At 53.0% G+C, this 11,046-nt stretch overlaps 1 annotated feature.

Annotated features, from left to right (window-relative positions):
- Positions 2,293 to 2,793: an enhancer, noted in NCBI's record as "H3K4me1 hESC enhancer chr2:239605714-239606214 (GRCh37/hg19 assembly coordinates)". NCBI's record gives its function as "activates a minimal SCP1, AML or CMV promoter by ChIP-STARR-seq in naive H9 embryonic stem cells {active_cell/tissue: H9 hESC(naive)}" and the evidence as "EXISTENCE:reporter gene assay evidence [ECO:0000049][PMID:30033119]".

Raw genomic sequence — 11,046 nt, forward strand, 5'->3', positions numbered from 1 at the left:
ATGCTGCACAGGCTCCACTTAAAGTTCTCCGGGCACCATCTCAGGGCCCTTGCCCTTGCTTCCCTTTCTCTAATTTGTATTTGTCAAAAGGTTTTGGACACCTTATTATACATCTTAATCATCTCCTGACATTTCTTCCTGGTTTCCCACGACTCCACTCAGATCCCAAATTTCATGGGGGCTTCTCTTTCTATCAAAAGTGCTGTCTCTGTCTTCTCTCAACCAAGCTGAGATTTGCTCCTGGGGCAGGGGAGACAGCCCAGATGCCACTGAGCTGCCGGCCCCAGCTCCTGAACCCTCCCTGCCCTCTCCTCGCACCGCCAACACTGTTAGCATTATTTATTGGCAGTTGATTTTCATTCTGTGAGATCTTCTGGCTAAGAAATACCAATGAATGCCTAAGGCCACGCCTTTGCCCAAACCCATGGAGTTACAGCCCTGTATCAAGTATCTCAAACTCCCAAACAAAACCCATAACAATCACAAACCCCCACCTATGGTCTTGTCTCAAAGAAGAGCCGAGTGTGTTAGGAGCCATTTAGTAGCCGAGGAGAGAAGACCCCAAAGCGCTGTGGAAACCTCTGTGGGGCTGACCAGCAGCGCTGGCCTTCAGCACGCTCATCCTGGGTGGGGCTGCAGGAAATGTTTAAGGCCCTCATCAAATGTCTTATATGAAGTCAGACCATTTATGCTTCATGGAACTCATGTATTCTAGTGACCAAAGTATTTATATTTAAATGCTGGCCTGTGGCTCAGAAACACAATTCTAGGAAGAAGGACATTTTTACTTTTGGATACATATTGCACTTTCTCCACAGTCAGCTGGAACCTGAAGAAAACCTGAAGAGAACACATCTTGGCTCTGTTCTGCAACGAATCCTGGAGTAACAAAACTGTCACTAGTTGCCTTAGATGGCCCACACAGTACGGCACAGCCAGCTGGCAGAGAAACACTCACATCAGCAGAAATGCTTGTTGTACTGTTTGGCTTTAAAAAAAAAAAGCAAAAACTGATTCCTCTTAAGTTGACCTGTGTGTGCAGACCACAGTGGAGCAGCCCTGGTGACTTTTTCTTTCAACCGTTACCCTCTAGGACACAAATTCCCCCACGAGGCACACTCTGATTGGGCCTCTGTCACTGGAGAGTAAACATTTGGATCTTTGTCAAATGGCTTTTTCTTAGGTGTTCAATAAACAACAAAACGTCTAACAAAGAAGGAAGCATTTTCCTCGCTCAGACAAATAAAGTCTCAAACTTTAAAGCTTATTTTAAAGCTGGAAAATACAAATTGTGTAAGTCTCATGATAGAGGCATTTGAAATAAATTTCAAAACTTAATCCAAGCCTCTTTCCTCTGCAAGCAGAAGAAAAACATATGTCTCATCGAGCTTGCTCTAGCTGCTCCCCAGAAAGTCAAGGCTGTGTGAGAGCCCACCCTGCTCGGGGGGCCTGGAGGCAGAGTCTCAGGCCCTTACTGCAGTCCCACAGCCCCCCACAGCCTCTGACAAAGGGCAACACAGAACCTAAGCCATTCCCAAGTCGCTGAGGTTTGTTTTCCCAAATGGAGCTGAGCAGCGGTCATTGAGCATGAATATAATCTTGCTGCCCATAGTCAAATTGGGTTGAACAAGTAGCTTTTTCTGCTTCCAGGCTGCCCATAAAACAAACATGACTCTTGATCCGGAGAACAAAGCTCTGTGGGTGCAGCTCATTTTCTGCCAGGGCCACGGGACCCCGTGGCAAAATGGGTAGAGGTGGAGGAGCTGCAGGAGGGAACATATCCTTCCAGGTCAGAGCCCAGGCCCTTTTCTCTCCCAGAGTCTCTGCCCTGAGGCTCAGAGCTTGTCCTAACCCTCAGCCCCATTGAATACATCTCTCAGTCCAGCCCTCAGGGCACCCTCACCTCAAATATGAGTATTGTTCCACATCCTCCCCCATCCAGTACTTCATTCAGTTTCATGCGAAGATTAATTCTAACCAGCTAATTCACACGAGTGTGCAAACGACTAATAGATCCTTACTACTCATGGAGGCCTTTGCATTGTTACATGAGATGCTTTGATAAATTAATTTCTACTTAATGAATTTGTTAGCACTTTCCTTCCTTTTGAACTAATTTTTGGACTCAGAAGAAGTTGCAAAAATGACACAGAAAGGTCCATGGTCCATCTCCCAGCTTCCTTCAGTGGTGACATCTTGCATAACTAGGGCACATTACGCAAACCAGGAATACTTAACAGAAAGAGTTAAGTATTGTAGTTGGGTGACCGAGTATGGTATGAGCTTGTGGTGGTGTGAACGCATTGAGGTGGTGTGAATGCATTGAGGTGGTGTGAACTCAGGTGCAGAGGATAGGGGAACACTTTCATGATCAGTTCTCTGAGCTAGTCCTTCTCTGGCTCCAGAAATTCTCTCAAGGCTCCCAGCACGTTCATGATCTCCTCTGCGTCCCCCCAACTTCTGCCACCCGTGGATCTCTACCCCTTCCATTATTTGGGGTTGAGGGCTAAGCCCTGGGATCCTGGCAGGAGGGCCACCCTGCTTCCTTCCCGGGCCAACATGTGCCACTTCCACTCCAACTAAATGAGCTCTTTGCTCGGCCGTGGGGCTGGGCCTGCCTTTGGGTTCCCCCTCACCATGGGTTTCCCCACTGGAATGGTCCCCATCTGGCTATCCCAGGCCCTGGTCATCACGTCCTGTGCTCACCTGAGGCTGAACATCCCGCGGCACCTCTCGTTCTGCACAGTTCAAAGCTGCCTGTGTGTTCTTCTCAGGGCAGCTCCTGTGGACTCTGCCTCAGTGGGGGCACCCCCTTCCATGCATGCACCCCCACAGTAGGTGGATCCCACAGCCTTCTGGGTCTGCCTCCCAAACGGGACAGGCTTCCTGCACTTCCCCATCGCAGCCCTGCTGTGCTGGCCAGGGCCATACTAATTCTTGAATAGTGCAGAATCTTGGTATTATCATCCCAAGTGACCTCCCTGCTGGGGATGATGCTGTCATCCACCCAAAGCTGTGGGCAAGCGTATTGGTGAGTTAGAAATGTTAGGAGTTCCCATATGGAAACCTTCCCAAGGTCTCGGCTTAACGCTGTCATGATATCTGGACATTCTCGTGGGCTTCAGTGGGTCCCCTCTTTGGAAGGTTGCAGGCCTGGGCTTGTCAGGTTAATGGCCCACGGGGTAAGGGGCTGTCGAAATGCCACAACCCACCACTCACCTCCTCCATCATCTGGAGGAATGCAGCGCTAACAGCTCCAAGTTGGCTGCGATGCTTGCAGGTTCTCCTATGGCCACGCACCTCGTGGCGGCTGGGCTGGCCTCTTAAGCTGTCTCTGAGATTCACGCTTCACATGCTATTGGCTCACAGCGTTTGTATCAGGAAATGCTGGCCCTATTCCCCGTTTTCCTCTTTGAACTTGACTCTCCTGCCTATTGCATTACTATCTTATTTATGTTATTTGTGTTTGACAGTGCAAACCTCTACCCATCTTTTTATTTTCAATGTTTCAGGGCCGTTCTGTGCTTATGGATGTTACTTTCCATCTGATACAAAACCTTTGTCTGTTAATGAAGACATTTTCAGTTTTAATTTCGGCACAGCTGTTCCCATCTCTGTCCTCTTGCTTTTTGTTTTCTGTTTGAATTTTTTCTTTTGCTTTTTTGCCATTCCTTTTCCTCTCTTTTTATCTGTCCCATGCTTGGCTTGCTTTTATCCTCTGTAGTGAGACAGCAGCCTTTCTATTTTTATTCCTGCTGATGGCTACGTTTCTGGGGAGAAAATGTCTGGTCGCGTCTGTACTGTCATGGTCACATTCAAAGAGATGGTCTTTATGTGTCTGTGTGCATCGGGTGCCTGGCGTGAGCTTGTGTGGATGTGACACGTTCCCACACGTTCCAGGTTCGGGCCTGGAACCAGGGCGGGCTGAGTGCCCCACTCTGCCCTGGACCTCGAGTCTGCAGGCCTGTTCTTGAGGGCTCTATGGTTGGAGGCAGGATCATCTCTGATGGACCCCCTGGCCTGATACCCACCAGCAGCATGGAGAGGCAGTGCCACTGTCGCCGCCCATAAGCATAGGGATCTGCAGCCCCACAGGGTGCTGTCTCCCCTTCATCTCCATGACTGCCCTGGTCAGTGGCTGGTGCAATGTCAAAGGCACCCAGGGCCTGGTCAGAGGATGGAGGAAGCTGGAGAGCAGGCACAGCCAGGACGGTCTGTGGGCCGGTCCGTCACGTGGTGGCCTTTCACGTGCACCAGGGCCCTTCTGGAAGCACAGTGCAGATGGCCACACCCTCCTTCCTGCCCGCCACTGCTGACCCTCAGCCTCCTACCCTCTTCGCTCCTGGTCTCTTGGCTCCTCTGAGTACCAGCCCCCAAGGGCAGGTCACCCCTGGGCATGGATGGATGAGGCCCATGGGCTTGCTGTCACTCTGTGACCCCACAGTTGGTCCTCAGGGTGGGGACTCCACGTGTGCCCAGGGGCACTGAGACAAAGCTCAAAGGCCTCCCTATCCAGCAGGTCCTGCCCTCCCTGGATGGGGCCAAACCTCCTGCACACTCGTCCCTGGAGTAGGCAGGGTCCTGGCTGGGCCTCTGCCTCCCACAGGAGTCCCTGGGAGGGTAAAGAGGAGGAATGGTGAGTGGCCCCTTCCTCAGGCTTGTGAAGCTTCTGCACATGGCGAGATGAATCCCCGGCCTCGAGCAGCTCATGCAGCAAAGCTTTTCTTGGTGTTGCCCCCCTCCCCCAAATGAGTGGGCGGTGAGGGGAGAGGGTCACAGGGGTGCTCAGAGTGCAGCTTGGTCCAAAGAAGCCCCTTTCTGAGCCCCAGTTCTTATTACACACAGGCACCTGAATGGGGCTGGCCTCCTCCTCCTGCCACAGCAAAGATTCTGGGTCCGGAGGAGGGGATCAAACAGCACCTTACGGGGTCTTGTCCCCAGGAGCCTGGCCTCTGCTGGGGACCTCAGGGCAGCACCATCAGAGCATAGGGCATACTTCCATCTAATGACCACTTCAAAATGTCTCCTTGTCCATACGCAGAGTCACGCCTGAGCAAAACTGTGACCCTCACAAAAAAGCAAACTCAAAACTACAAAAAGAACCACAGCCAAGACTTCCTCCTGTACCAAGCAGAGTGGCGATCGATGATGCTGAAATAGCTGGGCCAGCTTCAAAAGGTGTGGAGGTGGGAATGCTGAGATTACCCGACATCTCAGATAGGTGAAGTGGCTTGGCCCTGAGCAGGGTCCCCAAATAATGCATAAGGAGATTTGAGTGTTTCGAGTAAATTCCTAAGCAAAAGGGAACAGTAAAGTACTCTTAACAAAGTTTAGAAGCTCTTAAGCACATAGATCCTAGCAAGGGTTGGTCTATCTGTGTTCCTGGCAAGACAGCGCCCGATGGCTGCTTGCACCATCGACTCTGATGACCTCATCAAAACAGTTCCTTCCAGCTTATCTGCACTGTGGATGCGCAAACATGACAGGAATGAGCCCTGCCTGGGACCTTTCAGGACACCATTCTCGGCATGGGCGTGAAGGCTATGCAGCTCCAGGGCCACGTCTGCCCAGGGTCTTTGCGGCTCACAGTCACCCCGTCAGCCTAGTCACTCCGGTGTGGCACAGGAGAATGAGGGGGGAAAGCCTGATGAGGGTGCAGGCACCGGTGTAAATGCTGAGCAGTGGGAAGTGGAAAAGCGCTTTCCTCATCGACGCTGCCCCACTAGCTAGTGTGACATCTGTGCCAGCTTGGCGGTTCCCCTACCCCTGCCTGCTAGATTGGTAAGTCCCCTCAGAATAGTGGACACAGCCCAAGAAGGGGCAAGCCAGGGCCACAAAGTGAGCCTGGGAGAACTTGCTGGGGGACCTGCCCTCCCTGCAGTCAAGGTCTCCTTCTTGAGTGAATGAGACACTTGAGTGAGACAGCCTGTGACTCTGTCTCACCCACAGATACAGGCAGCATGTCCATGTACATGCACACAACGCAGGCAGCAGGGCTGTGTGGCTATAAGCACGTGCATCACGTCTGTGTACCTGCAGAATGTGCAGGCAGTGTGTCTGTGTACATGTAGATGACGCAGGCAGCAGAGGTGTGTACATATAGGCACATGATGCATGTCTGTGAATATGCAGAATATGCAGGCAGCATATCCGTGTACATGTAGATGTAGATGACACAGGCAGCGCATCTGTGTGCACGTAGACACATGCAGCAGACACAGCACGCTCTGCCTAGCTCCCCAACATCACTCTCCCTGTTCCCAGGCGCCTATCCCTTGGCTTCTGTGGGTGTTTCCTCCACCACAGCACCTGCTGCTCCTCAGAGAACTGCCCTTGAACTATTGAAGCCAAAGGGCCTAGGGGTTTACACCCTCAGCCACCTGTGGGTGAAGCATCCCAGCTCCCCTGCCTCATGGGGACAAGCTCTGCCACTGAGGGTGTGGGTGATAGGGTAGCTTGTGCCTCAGTGCTGTCCATAGGGTCTGGCTGAGTGGGGCCTGTGCTGGAAATCGCAGCCTGGCTTGGCTTCTCTCCTCCCTGACCCCTCCCCAGCCTCCCCTGGGAGCAGTTTCTCTGTGGACACCTGTACGAGAATCCCGCCTCATGCCAGTGTCTGGGGTGCGTGACCTAAAGTGAAGCCCCCCTGTGGGGCCACAGGTCCCACATCCACGCTGCCAAGCTCCACCAGCCTCTAGCCCACATAGCGGCGACTTCCTTCCTGCCTGCGGCCCGCCCCACCTTCTGTCAGCCCTGCACAGGGGAGAGCGGGGAGGGCACCACGTGGCCTCCCCAGATGGCCCCAGGCTACCCTCATCCCCATTTCCCTCGAGCTCTGGGTACTTCTGAGCAGATGTGTTTGAGAGGATGTTTACACGCGCGTTCCAGGCTTCATGTGCGTCTTCCACTCTGTCCACACTGGGGCTTGCTGCATGTTGGAGGGTGCTGCCGTGAAAAGCAGCACAGAACTCAGGGCCTGTCACCGCTCCAGTTTTCCCCCACATGACCCCGGCTGCACATGCCTGGACTGTCTCTCTATCCAGAGGATTGGCGTCCTGGGGCCCAACCTGGGAAGTCTCTTCTGGCTGTGGCATCTCTGACATTTTCTCATGCCTCATCCAGCCTTGTGTAAGCATTGGCATGCTGCAACATCCAGGTGGCAGGTGACACTCACACCTGGCAGAGTGCGCCCTAGGTCCAGTTCATAATAATCAGTATAATAATCAGAGTTCCTGTAATCAGTATGGACTCACGGACCCTGGAGGGAAATGGCATTGCCGGGAGGAGGAGGACTTGACAATGAGAGGCGGCTGCTGCTCCAGGCACGCACCAACCCATTCATGGCCCTGGCGGTTTAATGTGAACGAGGTGTCCTGAGCTTTGATGTGGAGTTGGGGGTCAGGAACATCTGGGCAACCAGAGAGGACCTGAGAGAGTTAGCATTTGGGGAGGGGGAGAGGAAGGCTGAGAAGGCCTCTCGTATACTTTTTCCAAGGTCTGGCTTCAATTGGATCCTGTTCCTGTAAAAATAAAAGAAATTCATAGCAATGTAACAACAACAAAAAATCTTCCAGTGGGTCTGCGAGAAAACAGCTCGGGGGAGAAGAAACAGCAAAGCTCCCAGGAAGGAGGCAGCCGGGCAGACGCATGTGTGCCCCAGCTGCAGCTGCAGGCCGGAGAAGAGGAGGCCCGGATGTCAGGGGAGGCTGGCGCCGCTCAGGACGGAGGACAGGGACAGGGCGAAGCTGGGCCTGCTGTGGAGTGCTGTGACCCATCTCCAGGCTCCCGGCCGGTCACTGGCTTCTGGAATCTGCCCTTCCTTTCAGGACAGGCAGTGTCCCCTAAGAGGCTCCTCCAGCCCTGATGGTTTTCCTGGGATACAGACCCACCTGCTGGGTGACTCCATCTGAGGGTCCGGGTCCTTCCTGATGCTAACACCCAGCCATCGTCTTCTCGTGAGAACCTCTCTCCATCACCGAAGGTGACCCATGTCTCCTCCACCCCTGCCCCACCCCTGCTCGTAGCCTGCAAAGCCCTCCACATGCATCCCAGGCAGCGCTGGCATTCCTGCCTGGCTCCCATCCCACTCTGCTGCCCGGGCCATTACCTCATTGCCTCCTGGTGGGTCCCAGCCTCTGATGTCCCCCGTCTCCACGACACTCCTTCCAGAATCATTGTTCAAAGAAGCAGCTGGTAATCTCTGTTCTGCTGCACTACCTTTGAAGCTTCCCACTGTTAGTAGGACAAAGGCCACACTTTGAGCCTGGCCTTTAAGGCCCTGATGAGCTGGTCCTTGTCTGCATCTCAGCCTTGTGCACTGCTGGTGCAGCTGGCATCCTTCCCCTAAACAGCCAAGCAGGACACACTGGGGGCTCAGCCAGGCATCACCTGACCACTGGGAAAATAAGAGAACGGGGTGAGGACAGGGCTGGGGTGAGACCTGCTGTGAAAATTGGCTGGTTCTGAGCCCAGACATTTTGCGGGTGACCTGAAGGTCAGTCACCATGACCATAGGGGGGTCAGCAAGCACAGACTCGAGCTGAGGTGGCCCCAATCCTCAAGGGCAACTGGTGGGAAGGTTGTGGCTTCAGGCGTCAGGGGGCAGACACAGTAGAGTCCCACCATGCCTCAAGTCTCCCCTTGACCCTGGTCTCCAGACCTCCAGGTCCTAATGCTATATCTTCTGGATGACTCTAGAATCCTCCTCTCTGTCTTCCCTGGCCCTGTCTCCCAGGTGTGCAGGAACAGGAAGCACAGATCCCCTGGGTGGGCCGTCCCTACTCCCGTGCCTTGCTTCCTGGGACTATGCTTCCTGCCCCCCTCCCTGGCACGGTGCGCCGTGGACCGGATGTGAGTGTGGCGTGTGCTGGATCCCAGAGGTTGGTGTCCGGCTCCAAGGGTGTCTTCTCCAAGCCCATCTTTCAGTCTCACCAGTGCATTCCATTCTCACCCCTCGTTTGCTGGAAAATGGATTCCTGGGTCTGCAGTAAGGGTATGCCAGATCCCATATGGGTAGCTTGAACTCTCCCTGAGCTCTCAAAGATTGATGTTGGCTGGGGGCTGCAGGCTTCTGCAGAATAGCCAGGTGACCCACATTATGGCAGAGGGCAGGACAATTATAACAGGGCAAGACCTTAGATGATCCTACTGTCCATCCACATGAATGCCAACTGCTTCTGATCCTCCTTTCTGAGAATGGGAACGGACACACTCGCCTGGTCAGAGCCTGCCTTCTCCCCATCTACAGCCATACCGCTCTGCTCTGGCAAAGACATCGCGTCTGGCCCAGCAGCTGCAGCTGGGGCTAGGGCTTGGTTGGGTCTGTGGGAGCCCACGCAGTCCTCGAGGGTGTGAGCTTCTGGAGGGACTAGACTGGTGGATTCAGTGGGGTCTGAAGAGGCTCACACTCCTGATCTTTTAGGTATTTGACAGTGGCAGGAATTTCTGTGTTCCCAGGATGCAGTACGATTTTTGACTTACTGTCTTGGCTGGGGAGGAGGAATGTTTCGATGGCTTCTACTCACTTTCCCTACGCTGTCACAGCTGTTATCCATGGGTGAAGAGTCGGTACAAGGTGGTGCCAATTACCAAGTATGTCCATTCCAATCGTATGTTTGAGAAGGAGGGAGGTGATTCTTGGTGACCTGAGAACCTACTGTGGTCCATAGCTGGCCAGGACCTCCTTTATGATCTGGCCCCCAGGTGCTCTCCCTTGAACAGATGAGCATGCTCAGGTCCCCAGGCATCAATGTCAACCCAGACACAGAGTCCCACAGCCCTCTAAGTGCCTGACATTCCTCTTTCCCACATGGCTTTGAGGTCCCAGTGCTTCCATCTGGCCTCTGTTACTTCATGACTCTGTCGTCCTCATTATATCAGAGCCTCGTTCTGCAACACCACCTCCCGCCGTCAGCCCCTCTCCCCCTGAGCTTCTCAGTGAGCTGATGCCCCCTGATCGCTGCATTCCTTGTTGCTTTGGTCAATGGGATGTCCCCAGCACCTTTCTGCTGAGCATAGTCAGTGGGGACTTTCTGGCCTCGAGCATCAGGTCCCCTCTGGCATGGCCATTTCTCTGAGTGTTTTGATCCCTTCTTCCAGCCTCTGGCTCTGTGGTTCTAGATTTCCACTGCATTTAGTATGGGTCGTTGCTTTCTCCAAGCTCCCAAGGGCCAACACAGCAGCATGTTAGCACTGTCTCCTGGGGCCTCGCCAGGATGCTAAACCCTGGATCAAGGACAATGCTCCCAGATGAATAAACTCTCCCTTGGCCAACCCATGTTCCCCTGTCCTGGATCCAGCACCCTCGGGATCTGTCTTCCATGTCTTCTACTGACCTTGCTCGTACCCAGGAGCTAAGTTTTGCACCTCCTTTAGGCTAGAGTCCCTTTCTTCTCGTCAGGGGTCCAGCCCATTCCTAGTAGGGTGATTTTGTGACTTATGCCCAGTCTGGTGAACTAGGAAGGAGTTAGGAGAAATATATATATTTTTAAGGCTAAAATATACCATGACTGATTGTTTCTCTGTAAATTCAGGTCTATAGCGGTCTTAATCTTATTGATTTTCAATCAGTCTCTTTTTTTTTTTTTTTTTTTTTTTTTTGAGACAGAGTCTTGCTCTGTTGCCCAGGCTGGAGTGCAGTGGCACGATCTTGGCTCACTGCAACCTCCGCCTCCTGGGTTCAAGAGATTCTCCTGCCTCAGCCTCCTGAGTAGCTGGGATTACAGGTGCCCGCCACACGCTCAGCTAATTTTTGTATTTTTAGTAGAGATGGGCATTCTCCATGTTGGTCAGGCTGTTCTCAAACTCCTATCCTCGTGATCCACCCACCTTGGCCTTCCACAGTGCTGGGATTACAGGCATGAGCCACCACACCCAGCCAATCCGTCTCTTCTTTATTTCATGTTGAAAATCCTAGTTCCCAATATCAGGCCTTTAGTTTTATCTCACAATACATATCAGGAGTCTGAAGAAGTATACCAGCACTGCCATCAACAATGCAATGACTGAACCGACTTTAAGTCTCCATGGTTCTTTTTGTCCTTTGAACAT

The sequence above is a fragment of the Homo sapiens genome, chromosome 2 (genome assembly GCF_000001405.40).
Source record: "Homo sapiens chromosome 2, GRCh38.p14 Primary Assembly".
NCBI classification, from domain to species: Eukaryota; Metazoa; Chordata; class Mammalia; order Primates; family Hominidae; genus Homo; species Homo sapiens.